This window comes from Homo sapiens, chromosome 16 (assembly GCF_000001405.40).
Source record: "Homo sapiens chromosome 16, GRCh38.p14 Primary Assembly".
NCBI lineage: Eukaryota > Metazoa > Chordata > Mammalia > Primates > Hominidae > Homo > Homo sapiens.
Window position 1 is genome coordinate 74,545,236 of NC_000016.10, and position 23,887 is coordinate 74,569,122.

The following is a 23,887-nucleotide window of genomic DNA, read 5'->3' on the forward strand; positions in this document are numbered from 1 at the left end:
AGTGGTACAATCTCAGTTCACTGAAGCCTCAACCTCCCAGCCTCAAGTGACCCTCTCACCTCAGCCTCCCTAGTAGTTGGGACTACAGGTGCATGCCACTACACCTGGTTAATTTTTGTGTATTTTGTAGAGATGGGGTTTCACCATGTTGCCCAGGCTGGTCTCGCACTCCTAGGCTCAAGGGATCCACACACCTCAGCCTCCCAAAGTGCTGGGATTACCAGCATGAGCCACACCATGCCTGACCCACTCCACCAAGTTTTCGAAGCCCAGAAAAGTATGTGTGGAATTTCTGTCTGTTCCAGACCCTAGTCTTTCAATCTAATGTTTATACACAAATTTAAATTCAGATATCTATTTTGAATTTCATTTAGGTTTTTGTTTCTAAGTAAACATCAGAGGATTAGTTTGGGTTTTGTTCACCCATGTCTTTTAAAGTTCTAAAGAACCTTTGTATCTGAGCTCAACTTTATATTTAAGTTCAACTGCTCAGATGCAGACATCTTTTAACATGCAAACAAACCAAGAGGGTATTGGTTAACTAAGGTCTCTTTTCTAAGTTTTACTTAGGAAATGTTTCATGCCTACCACTTCCAGTCAATATAATTCTCTCATCACATCAAACTCATGTTGATTAATTTTGTAAAAGTAAATGTTTGTTACCAACCGGTCAACTTTAATAAAGCAAGATCAATGACTTCAATAACTCAGTTTAAATGTCATGCATTTGTCTGAGTTTGTTACTGAAATCACCTGACAGTCACCTGTGAACAGGTAGTACAAAGCAGTATAAAAGGAAGTCCTGAGCTACATTACTATAATTCTTTCAAAGACGATCAGATCTTACCATAGTATCTTTGAAATCTTCATAATCATAATTACTGTTCTTCAGGAGAGTACTGGGAAATCTAATGTCTAAAACACAAGGCTTTGTAGCTCATGCCTGTAATCTCAGCACTCTGGGAAGCTGAGGTGGGCAGACTGCTTGAGCCCAGGAATTCCAGACCATCCTGAGCAACATGGCGAAACCCTGTCTCTACAAAAAATACAAAAGTTAGCCAGGTGTGGTGGCATGTGCCTGTAGTCCCAGCTCCTTGGGTGGGGGGCGCTGAGGTGGAAGGATCGCTTGAGCCCAGGAGATAGAGATTGCAGTAAGCAGAGATCGCACCACAGCACTGCAGCCTGGGTCACAAAGTAAGACTCTGTCTTAACAAATTAATTAATTAAATAAAATACAAGGCTTTGATTTAAGACTTCTGAAACTTTAGTGTAGGCCATAAACAAAGGTAAGAATTTATGATTAGAAGGATCCCTGACTAGGCCAGGCGTGGTGGCTCACACCTGTAACCCCAGCACTTTGGGAGGCCAAGGCAAGGCGGATCACCTCAGGTCAGGAGTTTGAGACCAGCTTGGTCAACATAGTGAAACCCCGTCTCTACTAAAAATACAAAAGTTAGCCAGGCGTGGTGGCAGGCACCTGTAATCCCCGCTACTTGGGAGGCTGAGGCAGGAGAATCACTTGAACCTGGGAAGCGGAGGTTGCAGTGAGCTGAGATCATGCCACTGCACTCCATCCTGGGCGACAGAGTGAGACTCCATCTCAAAAAAAAAAAAAAAAAAAGGATCCCTGACTAGAAGTGGGTAACATGTGATAATTTGGACCCACCATTTTAATGAAGTTTGAAAAGAGAGAGAAGCCTTCCTTCCCCAAAGGCTTATCACTGAGCAAAGGATCACAACACTAGACCTAGCAAAATAATTTACTCAACTGGTTGCTAGAACTGTCCCCGCTTCCAGAACAAAGAAATGGTGCATAAGAATAGGAAGTTGACTTCCCTGGTTTAAGACAGTCTTTTATTATATCATTTTGGGGCCATAACAAATTCCTAAACTTTTCTGGTTTTGTTGTGTTCCCTTGCCTCCAAGGGGGATGTAGAGGTAGTGCCTCAATTAAACAAAAACAATTTCTATAAATGTAAATCACCTCATCGATCTTTTCCTTACTTTACCAATAACTTATTTAATACAATTATACATCCTGTCCTTAAAGCTCAGAAAAACAAAAACAGAAAAAATGAAGAGTAGATCCTTTTTCCAAAGATGACTAATCACATTTCGCTTTAGAATTTAAGATTAAGCAGATCTAGCTTACATAAGTAATTGCCTCCAAAATAGATCAGACACAACAAAAGTGTCTTGCATCTGTGTATTGGCTTAAGGCTCAGTTTCTATTTATGACAAAGTATATATTTTTTCACATTTAGCATTCTTTTGGAATAGTGAGGAAACAACTCACAGGGTAAGACTATGGAATTGTTCATTCTAATTCCTGTTCTACCAGTTAATTTGTGCTATGTTTTGGAAGAAGCCAATCATTAATTGCATGAAAATGCTTTGAATGAAAGTGCTTTGAATTTGAGCTATGATGAAGAGAGAAAAAATACATTTTTTTCAACCTTTCTCCCATAAAAATTAGAGTCCTATCTTTCCAAACCCCTCTGACAAACTCTGATAGCATAATCACCAACTCACAACGTTGACATCTGTGACAAATTTCCACTTCCATAGAGGGATCATTTCCACTGTCTCTGATACCAAAAGCTGTATCCTTTTGATATAAAGTATTCATTTAATCCACTGATGATGGCTTAAAACAGTATTTTCAGAACAGAAGAATTCAGAAATAAAAAATCCAAAGTTGTTTGTTTGTTTTGAGATGGAGTCTCGCTCTGTCGCCCAGGCTGGAGCAGAGTGGCTCAGTCGCGGCTCACTGCAACTTCCACCTCTGCATTCAAACGATTCTCCTGCCTCAGCCTCCCGAGTAGCTGGGATAATAGGCGTGCGCCACCAAGCCCAGCTACTATTTTTTTGTAAAGTCAATAGTCAATATCTATTTCTGGGTAAGAACTTGACTCACAACGAGCACTTTAGCTGCTCTGCATTCTAAAAATATCTGCCATAGGACACCAGAAAATAAGTATTCTGAACCTGTGTTCCAATTCTTACTTGGTAAAACCATAACATCACAAAGCAGGCAACGGCATAAATGATTTTGCTGGCATAAATCTGGCTCCAAATTATAGCTATCTTTAAATTCTTCCCGAAAATATCTGAATTCAAATGAAAAATCCTTGGTTGATCACAGAACCTCTGTAGCCTCTGGCAGAAGTTTTCTTCTTAAGATAACAGTCCAGACACTTATATTTAAGAAAGTTCTTTGAAGGCAGTAACCACAGCTTGGCCTACCACACAATTCTAGGCATTCACTGGCATTCCATATGTTATCTGGTTGACAGAAATCTGACATCTAGGCTTCCAAAAACAGCTTACTGGGGTCAAACTGACATCAACAGCTTCTCCCAAACAACTTCCTTCGTGGACAATTTTTCAGGACTTTTAGCCTCAATTTAAATCTCAATTCTCTAAAAATTCCCATAAGACTATTAGATGATCAATTCTTAGACATAATACCAAACAGGGCCAGGTACAGTAGCTCAGGCCTGTAATCCCAGCACTTTGTGAGGCTGAGACAAGCGGATCACATAAGGTCAGGAGTTCAAGACCAGCCTGGCCAATATGGTGAAACCTCGTCTCTACTAAAAATAGAAGAATTAGCTGGGCGTGGTGGCAGGCACCTGTAATCCCAGCTATTCAGGAGGCTGAGGCAGGAGAATCACTTGAACCCAGGAGGTGGAGGTTGCAGCGAGCTGAGATCACCTCACTGCACTCCAGCCAGGGTGACAGAGACTCCATCACCAAAAAAAAAATAATAGTAATACCAAACAACACTTAATTTTTCAGTCATTTGCCAATCAGCAAATGAACCAATGTTGGTTCAATGAATCAATCTTATACATTCCTCTCTGAGCTTTAAGCATTTCTTGATGGATCAGGCAATAACACTAATAAGCACTTCTGCAAAAATTTAATATTTTCCTTTTGAGTTTAATTTTATGAGTCACTTCAAGATATGACCACAGTATGCTTTCTATCTCTCTAGTAAAGTAATGTACTGTATTATAACCTGTTTACATATTCCTTGCAGGTGGAATTTTGTCTTCTCCATCTTTTTTTTTGATATGGAGTCTTGCTCTGTTGCCCAGGCTGAAGTGCAGTGATGCAATCTCAGCTCACTGTAAGCTCCGCCTCCTGGGTTCACGCCATTCTCCTGCCTCAGCCTCCTGAGGACTACAGGCGCCCGCCACCACGCCCGGCTAACTTCTTGTATTTTTAGTAGAGACGGGGTTTCACTGTGTTAGCCAGGATGGTCTTGATCTCCTGACCTCGTGATCCGCCCGCCTCAGCTTCCCAAGGTGCCAAGATTACAGGCGTGAGCCGCTGCGCCTGGCCAGTCTTCTCCATCTTTTTATACATAGTGCCTAGCACAGCTAGCATAGCACGTTCAATATTTGCTCCAAGTATGACTAGACAAAGCTGGTGAACAAAATCTGTACACCTTTTATTTTCAGGAGAATTTGCTAATTTTATATTAAAAAGCCTTAATAGTAATTTTATAACCTTGAGAAAAGTTTGGATGAAGTCCACAATGAACTAAATGACTGCTCTATAAAATGGAAAATAAACAACAGGAAAAGGGGCTGAGCGTGGTGGCTCACGCCTGTAATCCCACCACTGTAGGAGGCTAAGGCAGGGGGATCACTCAAGCCCAGGTGTTCAAGACCAGCCTGGGCAACATAGCAAAACCCCAAATGTGCCAAAAAGAAAAAAAAAAGTTAGCCGGGCGTGGTGGGAGCACCTGTATTCCCAGCTACTTGGGAGGTTGAGAGGACAAGACTGCTTGAGCTGGGGAAAGTTGAGGCTGCAATGAGCCATGATCACACCATTGCACTCCAGCCTGAGCAACAGAGCAAGATCTCTAAAATAAAAATAATATAAAAAGAAAGGGCACAGTGGTGGACGGGTGCTAGAACTTAAGGGGCACTAAAATACTTATTGATTGTGCTTTCCTTTCTTGCAGCTGTCATTCAAAAGCTTCTTCCTGAAGTTGAGTAAGAGAGTCCATGATGTTTAGAATATGTGTTTTCATTATGTGGCCAAATGTTAAAGCTGTTGGAGAAAGAGCTCGAAGTCTCAATTGATAGAAGACCATGATGTACTGGAATCCTAATATATCCTGGTCAATATGTTGGCTTACAAAGATAAGCATATGAGAGCAGAGCCTCAGCTTCATGCCTGGCAATGTGTCCGCCGTGTGTGGGTTTCCTAAAGTAACAGCAGTCATACCATATGGTGTGGCTTTCATTGGCATGGGCAGGCGAGAAGATGCCAAAAACTCAATGTGCTATTTTGGGCCATGAAACGTGATAAGCTCTAAATTTAAAACATAATTTTTTAAATTAAAGAGTATTTTTTAATTGTAAGATGTTTTTATACTGGATTTTATAATCTTAAGACTCAATTAGGTAACTGTTCTCAGTGTGTGAAATAAGACAAAGATGCAAAAGTCAAGAGGGGGACAAGCTTGGCAGCAATCTTCTGAAAAAAAAAATTTAGAGATTTAAATGAAATCTTTTTTTAGTGATACTATAAATATAAAGGTGAAATATACAGAAACAGCTTTTGGAATGCTACATTTTGATAATGCTGAACAAGGGCAGTAGATGTGAGAAGCTGAGAGGCAGTATCAGTGGGATGGAATCTCTTATTCCTCTCGAGCCACCATTCCAAATTTTGTACAATAACACACCTCCAGCCTATCAAATAAGCTGATCTAATGTCTGAAGTTAGAGCAACCCTGGAAATATTCATGTTGAATCTAACGGACAACTTATTTAACCCTTACAAACTCAGCCCTAGATTTGAGCAACTAGGTTCAAGAATTCTAATAACAATTTCAAATGCTATACTGGGGCTGGTAATACTAATCTCAGGAAAGCAATTTTTGAGCTTCCTTGTCTCAGTGCTAGCCTTTCCCGTAAGTCTGCTTCTTTTTCCTAAATTAGGTTAATTATACATAATAAAAATAGTTTTTCATTAGTCCTGAGCTGGCAAAATGGGTTTTATGAACTGCTTCATATAAAGCAAGTGCTATATCTTATTTTATTTATTTATTTTTTGAGACAAGGTCTCGTTCTGTCACCCAGGGTGGAGTGCAGTGGTGTGATTTCGGCTCACTGCAACCTTAGCCCCAACCCCCACCTCAGCTCAAGCAATCCTCCTCTCTCAGCCTCCTAAATAGCTGGGGACCACAGGCGCACACCACCATGTCTGGCTATTTTTTTTTTTTTTTTTTTAATTTTTAGTAGAGACGGGCGTCTTGCCATGTTGGCCATGCTGGTCTCGAACTCCTGAGCTCAAGCAATCTGTCCACCTCGGCCTCCCAAAGTGCTGGAATGAGCCACCATGCCCAGCCCTTATTTTTTTTTTTTTAAATAAAAGAAAATACAACTTTAAAGTGTCAGTTGGCTAATTTGGGAAGAGGTGTGGGTGTCAGTGTATGGGGGGAGGGGGACCTGCCTTTAGGTGTCATTACCAAAGGCTATGATGATGTCATACAGCCCATTTCAAATGTACAAGGAGAATTACTGGGGAGAAGAAAGAGAAGGGAAGTGGGGAAGGTATCTTTTTAAGATACTTTTTGCACCTGCAGATCCTTAAACGTCTTCGCCATTAGTCCAAGTAGATACAACAGAAGGTAGTCTAGAATAGGGAGTTAATTATAAACGGAAGAAAACGGCAAATATCTTTCTAGTTTTCCTTTTCCTACCAGTCCTTCACCTTTCCTACCGAAGAGTTAAGTTTAATCTAAAAAGTTTGAAGTTTGCATACCCTTTAAGCCCCACTGCTATGATCTAGTTTGGGGGATGTGGAAAATAGGTTATATAAAAATTTTTCTGAGTAATCAAAAGCACATCCAACATTTACCAGAGACACAATATTGTCTTCTACGGGATGGATTAGCATCTCTTCCTTCAAATGTCCTGACTTGGAAGATGCGATCTCTGTTAAGTTGCAGGTCTCTCCAGCCCCGGACCTGGGCCCTGCAGCCACCAAGATGCTGATGCCTAAGAAGAACGGGATTGCCATCTATGAACTCCTTTTTAAGGAGGGAGTCATGGTGGCCAAGAAGGATGTCCACCTTCCTAAGTACCCAGACCTGGCAGAAGACAAGAATGTGCCCAACCTTCACATCATGAAGGCCATGCAGTCTCTCAAGTCTTAAGGCTACATGAAGGAACGGTTTGTCTGGAGACATTTCTACTGGTACCTTACCAACGACTGTATCCAGTATCTCTGATTACCTCCATCTGCCCCGTGAGACTGTGCCTTCCACCCTATACCACAGTCATCCAGAGACTGGCAGGCTTTGGCCTAAAGGTCTGGAGGGTGAGCAACCCGCAAAGCTCACAAAAGGGGAAGCCAAAAGACACCCACAGACAGAGTGCTGTGTCCCCTGGTCCGATGAGAAAGCCGAGGCTGGGGTTGGGTCAGCAACCAAATTCCAGTTTAGAAGCAGATTTGGTTGTGGGTGTGGTCAGTGACCTCAGTAAAACTGGAGAGGATTATTTTGCATTGAATAAACTTATAGACAGAAAAAAAAATGCAGGTCCTTCTGCTTAAGCCAGTGTTTAACCTGTGGTTTGATTCTGAATGTCTTCCCTAGTTTTGGAAACAATTTATATTGAAGTTCAGTTGTGTCACAGGCCCTTATTTTACTTTTTTTAAAAAAAACTTGTTTTTGGCCAGGCGCAGTGGCTCACGCTTGTAATCCCTGCACTTTGGGAGGCAGAGGCGAGCGGATCACTTGAGGTCAGAAGTTTGAGACCAGCCTGGCCAACATGATGAAACCCTGTCTTTACTAAAAATACAAAAAATTAGTCGGGTGTGGCGGCAGGCGCCTGTAATCTCAGCTACTCGGGAGGCTGAGGCAGAAGAATCACCTGAACCTGGGAGGCGGAGGTTGCAGTGAGCTGAGATCACGCCACTGCACTCCAACCTGGGCAACAAGAGCAAACTCTGTCTCAAAAAAAAAAAAAAAAATTTTTTTTAAAGACAGGGTCTCGCTATGTTGCCCATGCTGGTCTTGAATTCCTGGGGTCAAGTGATGCTTCTGCTTTAGCCTCCCAAGGAGCTGGAATCATGGGTGCACACCACCATGCTCGGCTACTATTTTCTTCAAAATTTGACTATTCTGACAGATTCTAGCTTAACAGTACATATTAGATAAATAAATGGCAATTTTCTGGAACATTCTTTTTTTGGTTTTGTTTCGGTTTTTTTTTTTTTTTTTTTTTGAAACGGAGTCTCGCTCTGTCGCCCAGGCTGGAGTGCAGTGGCACGATCTCGGCTCACTGCCAGCTCCGCTTCCCGGGTTCACACCATTCTCCTGCCTCAGCCTCCCGAGTAGCTGGGACTACAGGTGCCTGCCACCACGCCCGGCTAATTTTTCTGTACTTTTAGTAGAGACGGGGTTTCACCATGTTAGCCAGGATGGTCTCGATCTCCTGACCTCGTGATCCACCCGCCTCGGCCTCCCAAAGTGCTGGGATTACAGGCTTGAGCCACCGTGCCAGGCCATGGAACATTCTTTAAAATAGTATAGACTTCATAGCAGTTGCAACTTCAGTTATTGTATTCTGCTATCATTTTGGTCTTCTTGTGGCTTCTAAAAGCTGAATTTTCACTGCATATCCAAACTCCATAACTTGGTAATCAGCTCTTTAATAGAAGTAGCTATCTGACAATAGCACAACTCACATATGCAAAAATACAATTTGTCAATCTAGATTTATGAGATCATTTAAAATTCTCAACCAAAGCGTAAGCTTTCAACATTCTCAACCATGGCCTAAGTAAATCTCAGTGACTGAGTATTTAAGAACCAGGTACAACACAAAATATAGTCATCTATGGGAGATAACTAGGGAATTACCTTTCGCACAAAATCAGTCAGGAAAAAAAAATACAATGTGTACAATTCCTCAGAATTATTTATTTAAACCCTACTTTGTTACAAAATGATTTAAGACAGGATTTCCTCAATAAATGGGAGGAGAGCCAGGCGCCGTGACTCACGCCTGTAATCTCAGAACTTTGCGGGGCCGAGGCGGACGGATCACTTGAAGTCAGGAGATCCAGACCAGCCTGGTCAACATAGTGAAACCCCATCTCTACTAAAAATACAAAAATTAGCTAGGCGCGGTGGTGGGCGCCTGTAACCCCAGGTACTCGGGAGGCTGAGGCAGGACAATCACTTCATCCCAGGAAGCAGAGGTTGCAGTGAGCAGATTGCATCACTGCACTCCAGCCTGGGTGACAGAAAAAGACTCCATCTCAAAAAAGAAAAATAAAAAAATGAGAGGGATTCCAGCACTTTTCTCAATATATTCTGGCTAAATGTAAGATGGTCACTTAAATTGAGCAGATGGGACTTCATTAAATCACGATGAAAATGAACAGCCAAGAAAAGAACTATTGTATAGAAAGGAACTTTGGTAAAGTGCATGAATAAAATTACATTTTGGTGGATATATCTAATTAATATTCATTTCCTCAACTTGCAAAGCAAATGACATCATTGTTTGTCACTTTAACTAGTTCTCTGTTCAACAGTGGACCTACTGACAGATGCCCAAATAAAGATCACACACTAACATAAAAAGATGTAACTGCAGCCAAACATGGTGGCATGCACGTATAGTCCCAGTGCTTTAGGAGACTGAGGTGTGAGGATTGCCAGAACCCAGGAGTTTGAGGCTGCAATGAGCTATAATCTCACCACTGCCCTCCAACCTGAGCGACTGAGCAAAACCCTGTGTCTAAAATAAATAAATAATAAAAACATATAATTGCCTTCAGTTTATAAGACTTTGTGATAAAACGGGAAAAAAGAAAAAACAGTTGTAACTGTGCTTGGAGATACCCACCAGATGGGCCATTCTCACAAACTGATCAAATGATCACTATGGTGGTGTTAAAAATAAGTTTACAAATTGTAACTTTTCCTTCACTGAAAACTGATCAAGAAAGCCAACTCCCCAAATTATAATCTTGTCTTATCTAGTGGTCTGTCCTAGATTGACAGAACATAAAATTGGGCAATTATTCATGTTGTGAAAGGATCCACTACACAAAAAACAAAATTTAAAAATTAACGCAAGTTTCCTTGACATTGTCAACTCCATCAGTACATTTAAAATGGGATTCCAGGCTGGGTGCGGTGGCTCACACCTATAATCCCAGCATTTTGGGAGGCTGAGGCAAGACAACTGCTTGAGCCCAGGAGTTCAAGACCAGCCTGGGCAACACAGAGAGACCTCATCTCTACAAAAAAATATTAAAAGATTGGCCAGGTGTGGTGGTGTGTGCCTGTAGTCCTAGCTGCTTGGGAGGCTGGGGCAGGAGGATCACTTAAGCCAGGAATTCAAGGCTACAGTGAGCTGTGACTCCTCCATTGTGCTCCAGCCTGGGCAACAGAGAGAGATCCCTGTCTCTAAAGAAAAGAAGAAAAAGGAAAGAAAGAAAAGAAACATGCTGGGTTTCAGGAACAATTAGCCTAAGATTTAAAAGATTTCTGTGGAAAAATCAAGTCACTAAGTCACACAAAGACAATTATAGCTGGTGATAATTCATCTTTTTTTTTTTCTTTTTCTTTTGAGACAGGGTCTTGGTCTCGCTGTATCACCCAGGGTGAAGTGTAGTGGCACGATCATGGCTCGCTGCAGCCTCACTCTTCTGGGCTCAAGCAATCCTCCCGCCTCAGCTTCCTGAATCCCTGGGACTACAGGCACATGCCATCACATGAGGCCAATTTTTAATTTTTTTGTAGAGAAGGGTCTCACTATGTTGCCTGAGCTAGTCTCCAGCTCCTGGGCTCAAGCAATGCTCCCACCTTAGCCTCTCAAAGTGCTGGGATTATAGGCATGAGCCACTGGTAAGAATAAATCGCCTACTTTATATTACAGTTAACAGTTAATTACAAATTCCTAAATCACAAAATGTCCCTCTTACTCTTACTATAACAAAGTGAAATAGTCCTACAGGAAAGATCCATTACAATAAGATATACAGTTAGGTGCTGGAAACAAGCAACAGTAAGTAGCTATTGATTATCTTACCATTTTACAATAAATCATGACTTTAAATACTTTACTAGAAAATTTAAAGTTCTTTGACTAGGAAAAATGGACCTCTTTCCATAAAATTTTTGGTTTTGTTTGGGGCTAACCCAAACAATTTATTTAAACCAACTTTAGTATGAAATATACAGATTATACACAAAATAATCTAATACACTCTGGGGCAACCTGGTGAGACAATGCCTCTACAAATAAAATAGTCAGCTGGGCGTGGTGGTTCATGCCTGTGGTCTCAGCTACTGGGGAGGCAGAGGTGTGAGGAATGCTTAAGCCTAGCCATCAGAGGCTGCAGTGAGCTAGGATTATACCACTGCATTCCAACCTGGGTGGCAGGTTGGAATAATATTATTATTTTTTTATTATTTTATATATACATAATTTTGAGACAAGGTCTTGCTCTGTCTCAAATATATATATTATAATAAATATTATTACTAATAAAAATATATAAAATAATATTATTATTACAACCTAATAGTCTTTAGCCAATGAGTAAGAGAATAGCTGAAACTGTGTAACAGTCTGTTTACAGACTATTTCCATATGTAGGCTGATAAGAACAACTCTAATAATATAGCTTTTAAATAATACAGCAATTATTTAAATGCATTCTCATAAATAAAATATATTCTAATTTTCACTGCTCAGGAACAGTGAAGTACTTTATAATTTGGCAGGAGGAAGATTTACTCCCCATACATTAAAGATAAGCAGTAGAAAGAATCTTTATATTTTTGCATCTGACCAGTTTCAACAGCACCCCTAATTGGTGTGGGGTTAGCAAAAAGTTTGTGGTTATTACAATCATTGTATAAAGAGCTAAGTAAACTAGAAGAAACCCAGGACCTTTGATAAAACAGCTTTGTAAATCCTTACCTCAAATATTACAAATGTTTCTATAACTATATATGATTTGTTTGACTTTTGTAGATCTTTATTTCCTGCTTATCCATTACTATGTAATAGTAAGTGTGCTGAAGTAAAGCTGTGAGACTCAATTAAAGGAAAATTTTAATCATAGAGGTCTTTAGATAGCAAAATAGGCAAGAAGCTCTCTTTAGGTCTGGGGAGAGGCAAGAAGCTCTCTTTAGGTCTGGGGAGGGGCCAGAGCATAGGCTTACTTATGGGTGACCACTTAGCCCAAGAGTGTGAGCAGGTGGAAGTGAGAATGCTTTGCAGATACTAGTAGGCCAAAACTCTAGGCATAGTTAATTCAGATACTAGTCCAGACGCAGAAGATTTCAGGAAAACAGACCAAAAGCCTGAGTCAGGAGCTCTTGAGACTGAGCAGGTAACAGGAAGCAAAGGAGGCTAAAGAACATGGTCAGAAGACCATATCCCAGAAGCATCTGAAAGAAGTCTGGTGCAGCTATCTGGAAGCAGCCAGCTGGTTCCTTGGTAGAAAGTGTCCTGTGTGTCTTTTTTTTTTTTGGTAGGGTTGGGGTTTCACCATGCTTTCTAGGCTGGTCTTCAACTCCTGGGTTCAAGTAATCCATCTGCCTCAGCTCCCAAAGTGCTGGGATTACAGGCGTGAGCCACCAGGCCTGGCCATAGAAAGTGTCCTGTCTTGAAGATTGTGCTGAGGGGATAATGAGTCCTTTTTTATGGAAGACATACCACTCATTTGTAAAGAACATATGCTGAACAAAATAGAAAAATTTTAAATGCTAGACACACACATAAGGAAAGCAGTAAAACCCTGAAACTGTAGGTAGTTAAAAATTTAAAATATTTGCATTTTTATTCACAGATGGTCTTCAACTTTCACAGTCTGATTTTCATATATTATATACTTATGTACCTAAGAGGCTTTTCAATGTGGATTTTATATTTTGTGTTCACCAGCTGACAAACTTTTGAGCTACTGAGTGAAGGTGGTACTGGCTCACCAACATTTCACTTTTGGCAGTATCACCACATTGATGCATCTCTGTGAAATTATTAGAGTATTTTATTGGATTTGGGGGAAAATGCAAGTGTTAGTATCAGCAAAAAGAAGCATCTCAATGTAACAGATTGCTTTCAGGTGTTAAGCCAGCCTTCCATGTGCTCAATTATGAATAATGGATAATAAAATGAAAGTGTGTGCACAAATGTTTGAACTGTATTACTGAAGATTATACCAAAAAGGTTAAGTATAATTTAGGATTTTATAATATTTGTTAACTCGCTGAGCACCTGCTTTACAACATTTGAGTCTGACTTTAACCTGCATGGCTTTCGCCCATGTTTCCATGGATACACACACATTTGTAAATTTCAGGACTTGAGAACCTTAAGACATTTTTAGAAAATGTGAAGAAATCTCCAATTTTATTTTTAGCTTTAAAATTTTTTTGTAACTTATTTCTTACCCCCAAAGGATGCGGAAAGTTTCCTATATTAACTATTTTGACCCTACGAGTTTCATGGTGGATTAGAATAGTCAGAAGAAAAGAGAAGGGCAGATAAATGTTTCAATCTGTCTTCAAACATTTAATTATGGCTTACAATAAAATAAAATTTAACCTAATTCTATTACCTATTTTGTCACAGACTGTACATCTTCTTTTTACTTTTTATATTTTCTTAGAGACGGGGTCTCACTCCGTCACCCAGGCTGGAATGCAGTCACACAGACATAGCTTACTGCATCCCAGAACTGGGCTCAAGCAATTCTCCCACCTCAGCCTCCTGAGCAGCTGGGACTATAGGTGTATCCCACTATGTGTGACTCATTTTTTAGATTTTTTTGCTATGTTGCCCAGGCTGGTCATGAACTCCAGGCTTCACGCAGTCTTCCTGCCACAGCCTCCTAAAGTACAGGGATTACAGGCCTGAACCACTGGGCCTGGCCTTTTATTTTTTAAACGAGGTATCTGAGTACATTTCCTTATTTCCTGCTTCATATGACTTTTACTATCAGAAGTAATCCTTTTTACCCATCTTTAGGCTTCCTGCTGTTTAAAAAAAAAAAAACTTAGCTGGGCATGGTGGTGTGCAACTGTAATCCAAGCTACTCAGGAGGCTGAGGGCAGGAGGATCGTTTGAGCCCAGGAGTTTGAGGCTGCAGCAAGCTATGATCACACCACTGCACTCCAGCCTGGGTGACAGAGGGAGATCCTGTCTCTAGAAAAGGTGAGGGTAAGGCTGGGGGAGGAGGGGCGATGGGGGGGCAGGGGACAACACAAATACAGTCAAATAAAAATATAACTCTTCCTTAATCCTCTGTCCTCTTTAGGCCAGGCTCTCTCCTCCTCAAACCTCTCTCATCTTAATTTTAGAGAGTGAAATATGCAGATAGTCTTGGATCTCTTCTTCCCTTCTAATTCTAGACATTCTTAGAACTTAATTCTTTGCCTGCTTTTTCTTCATTACTCATTCCCACCGAGATTACGTCTTCGTATCATGTCTCTATTGATGAAGACTTCATTTTTCATCTTCAGCCTTCTGACATATGTATTTTCAGTTTCTTAATGTATTCACTTTGAATGTCCACTGTCACCTAAAATGTAACATGCCTAAAACATAATTTTATTTTGAATTTATTATTTTAAAAAATAAACCACTGGAGAATTTTAGACTTAATGGAAAAGTTGAGAAGACAGCACACAGAGTTCCCATATGCCTTCTCATTTTCCCCTATTGTTAATAGCTTACTTTATATAGTGCAATCTGTCACAACTAAAGAACCAACAATGGTACACATTTTATTCAGATTGTACTAGGTATTTTATGAGGATGATGGTTAATTTTTTGTGTCAACTTCACTGGGCCACACGCGTTTCGCCAAACATTGTTCTGGGTGGGTCTACGGTGCTGTTTTTGGATGAGATTAGCACTTGGACAGGCAGACTAGCAAAGCAGACTGTCCTTCCCAATGTGGGTGGGTCCCATTCCATCAGTTGAAGGTCTGAATAGAACAAAAAGGCTGAAGCTCCCCCAGGACTCCAGAATCAAAGAAAGGGGGGATTTCCTCCTAACTGCTTTGAATTGGGACCTCAGTTTTTGTCTTTTTTTTTTTTTTTTTTTGAGACGGAGTCTCACTCTGTCGCCCAGGCTGGAGTGCAATGGCACGATCTCAGCTCACTGCAACCTCCGTCTTCCAGGTTCAAGCGATTCTGCCACCTCAGCCTCCCCCCGCCGCCCCCCTGCCCCCGCAGTAACTAGTAACTTGACTGCCATCAAGCCTAGCTAATTTTTGTATTTTTGTAGAGATGGGTTTCAGCATGTTGGCCAGGATGGCCTTGAACTGACCTCAGGTGATCTGCCTGCCTCAGCCTACCAAAGTGCTGGGATTACAGGCATGAGCCACTGCGCCTAGCCCTAAAAACTCTTTATAAAAGGCAAAGCTTAAGCAACTAATTGTAAGAAAAATTAAACCTGAGCTGGGCATGGTGGCTTAGGCCTGTAACCCCAGCTACTTGGAGGCTGAGGCAGGAGGATCTCTGGAAGCCAGGAGTTTGATTGAGACCAGACTGGGCAACACAGCAATCCCATCTCGAAAGAAAAAAAGAAGGGAGGAAGGGAGGGAAAGAAGGAAGGAAAGAGAGAAGCAATTCTGTATATAGAATATGTAAAGAAAGTAAGATATGTTTTTGTAAGGAAAGCTATAAAGGCATAAAAATATGTGTTTGCTGAGAAAAAAAGTTATTTAAAGGTTATTTCAAATTGAATGAATTTTTAGAAGAGATATAGTCTGGCACCACGCAGTCCTGCGCAGTCCTGCACAGTCCTGCTTGGTTGCATGGCAGCACCTGGGGGTGCCCAGCTGGAGGGATGGGGCAGGATCGGGGCCAACAGGCAGCAAGCCAGGATCCTGCAGCAGCCAGCACCTTCCTCCTGCTGGTGTCAGAGCTGGGCATGGGGGGCAGCATGCCTGTGAGTAGCCTCAGAAGGCTGAGGTCCCTGCCCCCAATATTGGCACCTAGGCCTGCACCCTCACACCCTTCATGACCACAACCAAATTTTCTTGTCAATTATGTCTTTAACCATGATCATTTTGTTTCCACAGTTAATTGCTTTATACGGATGCATTTTCTTTAAGCTCTTTACAACCAAGTAAAATCCTAGAGCATTATGTCTTCAAGAACGTTCATGGAAAGTAATGGAAAGGACCCTAATAAGCACTACTGAATACAAGTTTCTGATAACTTTAGGCTCATCTAATTTGGACTGGGTAAGAATTCCCAGAACTTTAATAAAGAGACTGGTTTATAAAACTGCTAACCCAAGCAGGACAAAAATTAACTGAATACTAAGAAAAATACTCTGCCAGATTTTCATGCTAAATCAGCCAGTACTAAAACTGTTAAGATATGCAACTTGAATGAACTCTATGTTCCAAGTCAAATTACCTATGATAACCCATTTAATGAACAGTGCTATGCACCTGAATTGGAGATACAAAATTGGTATTTAACAGGCTATAAATGCAATGTTAAGCATGGAATCACAGAGATCCTGCACAGCCACCTGGTCCTTCCTGAATCCGTAAATCTTCCATTATTAAAAGCTCTGCACTCCATGACTCATCATGGAAGACAGAAAATGATCCAAATAGAAAACATATACATTGGTGTGGTGACTGCTCTAAATCGCTAAAAATGGTTTATGACCAAGGTTTGGCTTATCAAACCTACAACCTGGGAAGATAATTAAAACTTCAGCTACCTGATGGGTCATTGGAACACTTATAGAGGAATTTCATTCAACTGTCATTTTCAACACGTTTTCTGGTAAAAGCTTTCTCATGCAAGAAGGCTGATGCTATAACAGTAGCTAAAAGGTTGTCAGAAAATGTGTTTCCCTCACGGGGCATTCCTGGAGAAATCTCCAGTGATAGTGGTACTTGTTTCACTGGACAAGTTGTAAACAGTTAAGTAAGGTATTACAGACACAACAGCTTTAGGTGAAGCTAACTGAATTGACTGGTTGCCTTGGTCAAAGGTATTGCAGATTGATGACAACCTCATCTGCTTCCAGTAGAAAATATAAGTTGACTCATTATGAAATAGTCACTGGAAGGCCTATGCCACTAATAATAGAACCTCATGTATCTTCCTCTCCCAAACTCTGATATGAATAAATGCTGCAAGCCTTTAATGCATTATACCAAAGTGTATTTTCACCAGCTAAAGGAAGCTTTTCTTTTTTTTATTTTCTGTAGATGGTCTCACTCTGTTGCCCAGGCTGGAGAGCAGTGGTGTGATCTCAGCTCTCTGCAACCTCCACCTCCCGGGTTCAAGCAATTCTTGTGCCTCAGCCTCCCAAGCAGCTGGGATTACAGGCATGCGCCACCACACCCAGCTAATTTTTGTATTTTTAGTAGAGATGGGGTTTCACCATGTTGGTCAGGCTGGTCTTGAACTCCTGGGTTCCAGAGACCTGACCTCCAGTGATTCGCCCACCTCGGCCTCCCAAAGTGTAGAGATTACAGGCATGAGCTACCGTGCTGGCAGTAAAGGAAGCTTTTCATGACCCACCCACTGAGGACATTCAAATCCTTCACAATCTAGAACCTGGAGGTTGGTTCTTCTGGAAATGACGTCAGGAAAACACTGCCCTTGTTACCCACAATGAAGCAAAACTCTGGGGCCTCAAACACTGGGTCAATTGATATCACAATGCAGGAGGGCCCCTCCAGACTTGGAATTGTACACCCATTGGAAATCTTAACGTAAAGCTAACCAGTTAGAAAAGGTTTTCCCCCAGAAGCAGATGGCACCCTAGACATGGACAGCTTTCCCAAAAGCATGGATCAAAACTTCTCTGTCATCATGAGACTCTTACCTCTCAATGTTTTCCTTGTTTATGCCTCTATGAACAACAGAAAAGGGGTCTTATGGTGCACCAATGGGGCACACTTTTATTTGTGAAAACTTTTACAGCCAACCTTATCCATAGGCAGCATTATGTCTTAATGGATGAAAGATGACAGTCCAATGTGGGTTAGGAATTTTAATGGTTCTGTCAGAAAGAGAACACTGGTCCACTCCTTTTAACCTACATCAGAGGTGAAAAAGAACACTAGTGCTTGGAAGCCTTCATCATTCTGAATGGCCTTCATTGTTAGGTCACTTTTTCCAGAGTTTGGAGTAAACGATACAGTGTCTAGAAATTTGTCCCTCATGGGCTGGACGCAGTGGCTCATGCCTGTAATCCAAGCACTTTGGGAGGCTGAGGTGGGCAGATCACTTGAGGTCAGGAGTTCAAGACCAGCCTGGTCAAAATGGGAACTCTGTCTCTAGCAGAAACACAAAAATTAGCGGGGCGTGGTGGCGTGTGCCTGTAGTCCCAGCTATTTGCGAGGCTGAGGTGGGAGAACTGCTTGAACCCAGGAGGCAGAGGTTGCAGGGAGCCGAGATCACGCCACTATTCTCCAGCCTGCGCAACAGAGTGAGACCCTGTCTCAAAAAAAAAAAAAAGAAAGAAAAAGAAAAAAAAAAGAAATTTGTTCCTCATGATATGCTCCATAGCAGATTCTACTGCAAAGGCTATGGTTACAAAACAGACTTCTTTAAATTATCTTGCTAAAGGTCTACTGGATAACAGAATTGCTCAAGGTTGCCTACTGGCTAATCAGGGAAGTATCTGTGAAGTTGCTGACACTTTTATTTTTATTCTTTGAGACAGGTTTTTGCTCTGTCACCCAGGCCGGACTGCAGTGGCTCAATCATGACTCATTTAGCCTCAACCTTCTGGGCTCAAGTGATCCTCCCACCCAGCCTCCTGAGTAGTGGAACTACCAGCATGTGCCACGAGGCCCGGCTAATTTTTGTATTTTCTGTAGAGACAGGGTCTTGCTATGTTGCCTACGCTGTCTTGAACTCCTGGCCTCAGGGATCCTCCCGCTTCGGCCTTCCAAAATGCTGGGATTAACAGGTGTGAGCCATCATACCAGGCCTTGCTGACACCTCTTGTTGCACGTGGATGAATATACTGGATATTACAGAGATTCAGTTGTAGGGGATTAATGAACTGGCTGCTTGGTTGAAATGAGTAGATTGTTTATCTTGCTCATTCTTTGATCTATTTGATTTTAGTTGGTTTGGTTCATGCGAACTCTGGCTAAGGAGCATACTCCAAACTCTTAGTATTATCCTCCTAACAGTCATAATAGCAGTCTCCCTGCTGCATTATATTCTCTCAAAAGTTATAAATGTTTGCATGCAGCCATCTATGTAAGTTCAAATGGTCTCTCTTCAGCAGGAATGATAAACACTCAAAGACATGCATGATCATGAGGACACCAAAACCTATGAATAAAGTGCTAGGACTGGAAACCCAAAAGGATGGTAACTGAGTAGCACTAAAGCCCTAAGTTTCAGTAACACTCACACCCAAGTGAGAACCTGACCAAAAAGGCGAAGCTGTTAAACAAAATTGTGAGAGCCCACTGTTTTGGATTAAGCTTATTCACTAGGCATCAATAGGCTAGACCAGATCAAACCTAAATGAAGTCACTCATGCTAAATGCAACATCATCAAATTGAAACTTTAAGGAAGCAGAAAGATCCCAAACAGCCCAGGTTTTTTATTCCTTTCCTAAAAACAAGAGATCCCAGCATAAGGAGGTTGCCCCTGCTCTAATCCCTACAGAAAACTAACCTGAAGTCCTTGTTCCCCACCTTGCAAAAGCCAGTTTTGTTACCTCCCAGTTGGATTTGAGATCAAATAAGTACATTTATGGATGCCTAAAGTTTTGTCAACCTCTCAAAATTGACAAACAATACAAAATTGAGGCCAGATGGGGTGGCTCATGCCTGTAATCCCAACACTTTGGGAGGCTGAGATGAGCAAATCACTGGATGTCAGGAGTTCAAGACCAACATGGTGAAATCTGTCTCTACTAAAAATATAAAAATTAGACAGGTGCAGTAGCACACGCCTATAATCCCAGGTACTTGGGAGGCTGAGACATGAGAATCACTTGAACCCAGGGGGCAGAAGTTGCAGTGAACCGAGATTTTATGACTACACCCCAGTCTAGGCAACAGAGCCACTCCATCTCAAAAACAACAACAATAACAAAACAAAACTGAGAGGTTGACCAAAGAGGGGAATTGTTAAAGTTAGCCTAAAGCTGCCTTCTTACATATTTTAAGTTCGGGCCTAAAGATTTCTCAGTACATAGGGAACTGTAACCTGACTAGAAGAGAAAACAAACTGCAACCTACTCCTGTAACAAGTAACTCAGTCTCCGCCAATCACAGCAGCCATACTTCACTCATAGACCGCCAACTGCTTAAACTGTGTTCAGATAAGCCAAAGGCCCAGCTGTAACCAATCCTGCAGTTTCTGTACCTCACTTCCTTTCCTGTATGTCACTTTCCTTTTTCTGTCCATAAATCCTCTCCAACCATACACCAGCACCAGAGTAGTTCTCAACCTTTCCTGGTTCGAGAGGCTGCCTGATTCGCAAATTATTCTTTGCACAATTAAATTCTGTTAAATTTGTCTGAAGTTTTTCTTTTAACACACCTTATTGGTTCTATGTCTCTGGAGAACACTGCCTAATACAAACCAAACTAAAAAGTTTGGTTTAGGTTTGGTTTTGCTTAAAGCAGTGTTTTCTAACGTTCCGTCTTTGTTACAGGATCCCATCCAGGATTTAGTCACCATGCCTTCTTAGGCTCCTTGTTCTGATGATCTTGACTGTTTTGAGGAAACCTCGTCAGGTATTTTGTAGAACGTCCCTCAATTTGGGTTTGTGTGACGTTTTCCTCATGGGTTATAGGCTTTTTGGAGAAAGACCATATAGGTAAAGTGCCATTCTCAACAATCGCATCAAAGGCATACATGCTACAAACACCACCTCACTCATAACGTCAACTTTGATCACTTGGCCAAGGTTTCTCCACTGTAAAATGATTCCCTTTCCACCTTCCCATAGGCTACTCTTTGGAAGCAATTCACCAAGCTCAGCCCATCATCAAGAAAGAAATGCAGAGGCCCACCTCCTGGACAGGGAAAGTATCTACATAAATTATTTGTGATTCTTCTCTACAGGACATTTGTCTTTTCTATTTATTTATTTAACAGAATTTATTTTTGTCCCCAAGCCAGTTCTTTCTACCACGGCTTCATCGTTCCCACAGGGAGTAACCCCCACATACCCAGTGAAACTTTTGGTTTATCTTTAATTTTTCTCCTGTATGTCTCATATTTTAATCCTTTAAAGAGCTCTCCATTGTCATCTTTTTCCAATGTTGTTTAGATTTAGTCAATCTCTTTTCCTTCTGTCATGACTTTAATCCAGACTACCGTCTTCATTCTCTCGAAGAGTTAACCTCTGAGCAGGTCTCTTTTTTTCCCCTCCATGCCTATTCTGTTGTAATTTGCCTTTTATATCCTTTAGTCATACTATTAGATTATTATTCTTATACTTTCAAAAGTATAATTTTAGTAGCATTACAGAGTCAAGACCATTCCCAACCCTAGAACTCAGAATGGAGAAAGTGCATAATAAATATCTGATGGGAAGTAGAAGATACAACAAATTTTTTTCCACCACAATTTATTCTCCACACCAGGAAAATAATACCCTGCAGGAAACTTTAAATAAACAACAGAAATATTTAAACATTAATTATTTTAAACCTAACACATATTGCTAAGATGTGAATGAAAAGTATATATAGTCACGCAAAGAATATAGATATCAGAGGAGAAAATGTTTAAGATGTTGCAAAACTATAGGAAGCTAAGAAAAAGAAAATTGTCTTTGCCCAGAAAAAGAATCTAAGAAAACCTTTCAGGCCGCTTAATGGGTCTCCTAAAATCTAGCATTTTTGAATTTTCTATAGGAGAAAATCTTGAATAAAATTACATGATTACATGTAATTGTGTGTGTGTGTGTTGTGTGTGGGGGGTGTAGGGAGCGGGGAGAGAGAGACAGAGAGAGAGAGAGAGAGACAGACAGAGAGAGGAGTTAGCTGTTTCTTTTGTTTTGTTGGTAGGAGGAACAGAGTTAAGTTCAATTACCAATGTTGTAACACGTCCCTCAGCTCTGGCCTGGCTCACAATAGTTTCACTGAAATTTGTAATGCCAGCGCTTTAGAATTTGAAATGAGAAATTGACAGGTATCTCTTTATTCTAATGATAGAAGCAAATACAAAACATTGGGGTTTCCTAGGACACAGGACTATTCTTCATTTGGGTCACGTCAGAAGTAAAACTCCAAAAGATAAAAATCACTGCTTCCTGTGCTGAAACCTTACTATATATGGTGCACTTTCTTTTTTTTTTTTTTTTTTTTTTTTTGAGACGGAGTCTCGCTCTGTCGCCCAGGTCGGACTGCGGACTGCAGTGGCGCAATCTCGGCTCACTGCAAGCTCCGCTTCCCGGGTTCACGCCATTCTCCTGCCTCAGCCTCCCGAGTAGCTGGGACTACAGGCGCCCGCCACCGCGCCCGGCTAATTTTTTGTATTTTTAGTAGAGACGGGGTTTCACCTTGTTAGCCAGGATGGTCTCGATCTCCTGACCTCATGATCCACCCGCCTCGGCCTCCCAAAGTGCTGGGATTACAGGCGTGAGCCACCGCGCCCGGCCATATGGTGCACTTTCATTGTCTGCTTCTCTAGCCTCCTGGCTTTCTTTTGGGGATTCACCCAACTCTGTCAATCTCAGTCTGAGTGCTCCAGGTCGGGCCTCATTCCTGACACAGATAGAGCAAATGAGTCCACATAATCCAAGACTATGCACATAACATTCCTAACTGGTTCAGGGACTCAGACAATGACAAACAATACAACATTTGCAATAATGCTGGGACACATGGAGGAACAGGAATAAAAGCTACTTTGGCCACCTTGCCACAACGTGGAGACTGTGAAAGAAGCCAGCCCAGAAGCAGATGGTAAGAGAAGTCAGTCCTGCTAAGATGCCAAGTATCAATACCTATCTAAGCCTGAAGCCTGTGCTAAACCTTGTCTTTACAGTTATATGAGGCAAATTCTCTTTTTACCTGAAGCTAGTTTGGAAAGGACTTCCTATTACTATAAAAGAATCATAACTCCTAACTGATATAGTGAGGAACATGAACTTTTTACTTAAATCTCACTCTGATAAAGCAGAAAGAAGTATCAGAATAATTTTACTGCTTTTTTTTTTTTTTTTTGAGACGGACTCTTGCTCTTTCGCCCAGGCTGGAGTGCAATGGCATGATCTCGGCTCACTGGAACCTCCGCCTCCCGGGTTCAAGCGATTCTCCTGCCTCAGCCTCCTGAGTAGCTGTGATTACAGTTGCACACCACCACGCCTGGCTAATTTTTATGTTTTTAGTAGAGACGGGGTTTCACCATGTTGGCCAGGCTGGTCTAGAACTCCTGATATCAGGTGATCCGCCCACCTCGGCCTCCCAAAGTGCTGGGATTACAGGCATGAGCCACTGCGCCTGGCCTGTACGTATATTTTCTATTTGCAAAGTGCTTAACCAATAGTATCTTAAATCAGGTGCACATGCAAAGTAACAGAAAAGCTTAAAAATAAGTGCAGTTATCTGCTTCTGGAAGTGGTTATTTAGAACAACCCTTTAACTATAAACAACTAAAAGTGTTGGAAAACAAAAATCTTCTTAAAAGCAATAAAGAGCTAAAAATACCGTAAATTACTGTCAAGCCAGAACTGAAGGAAAAGGGGGTACATACCCAAGAACACAGGAGAGCTCAAAAGCTCACTTCTGCCTTGAAGGCACTTGCTAAACCCATCAAAATGACTGAAGGGCCGTGTGGGCAGAAACCAAGCCCAAGGCCTGCCCAAGGTAGGAAATCTAATGAGATAGTCCTCACTTAAAGCTGGCATCTCA

The 23,887-nt window shown here is 41.4% G+C and overlaps 1 protein-coding gene and 1 pseudogene across 5 annotated transcripts in view, besides 4 other annotated features; one reads left to right on the forward strand and one right to left on the reverse strand.

Annotated features, from left to right (window-relative positions):
• Positions 1 to 23,887, reverse strand: part of GLG1 (golgi glycoprotein 1) — a 159,675-nt gene that overhangs the window by 97,796 nt on the left and 37,992 nt on the right. The window lies entirely within an intron of this gene.
• Positions 6,979 to 7,557, forward strand: RPS10P23 (ribosomal protein S10 pseudogene 23; annotated as a pseudogene).
• Positions 7,306 to 7,807: an enhancer, noted in NCBI's record as "H3K4me1 hESC enhancer chr16:74586439-74586940 (GRCh37/hg19 assembly coordinates)". NCBI's record gives its function as "activates a minimal SCP1, AML or CMV promoter by ChIP-STARR-seq in naive H9 embryonic stem cells {active_cell/tissue: H9 hESC(naive)}" and the evidence as "EXISTENCE:reporter gene assay evidence [ECO:0000049][PMID:30033119]".
• Positions 12,323 to 12,523: a silencer, noted in NCBI's record as "peak2638 fragment used in MPRA reporter construct". NCBI's record gives its function as "represses an SCP1 promoter by STARR-seq MPRAs in K562 erythroleukemia cells {active_cell/tissue: K562}" and the evidence as "EXISTENCE:reporter gene assay evidence [ECO:0000049][PMID:32103011]".
• Positions 20,362 to 20,863: an enhancer, noted in NCBI's record as "H3K4me1 hESC enhancer chr16:74599495-74599996 (GRCh37/hg19 assembly coordinates)". NCBI's record gives its function as "activates a minimal SCP1, AML or CMV promoter by ChIP-STARR-seq in primed H9 embryonic stem cells {active_cell/tissue: H9 hESC(primed)}" and the evidence as "EXISTENCE:reporter gene assay evidence [ECO:0000049][PMID:30033119]".
• Positions 22,506 to 23,005: an enhancer, noted in NCBI's record as "H3K4me1 hESC enhancer chr16:74601639-74602138 (GRCh37/hg19 assembly coordinates)". NCBI's record gives its function as "activates a minimal SCP1, AML or CMV promoter by ChIP-STARR-seq in naive H9 embryonic stem cells {active_cell/tissue: H9 hESC(naive)}" and the evidence as "EXISTENCE:reporter gene assay evidence [ECO:0000049][PMID:30033119]".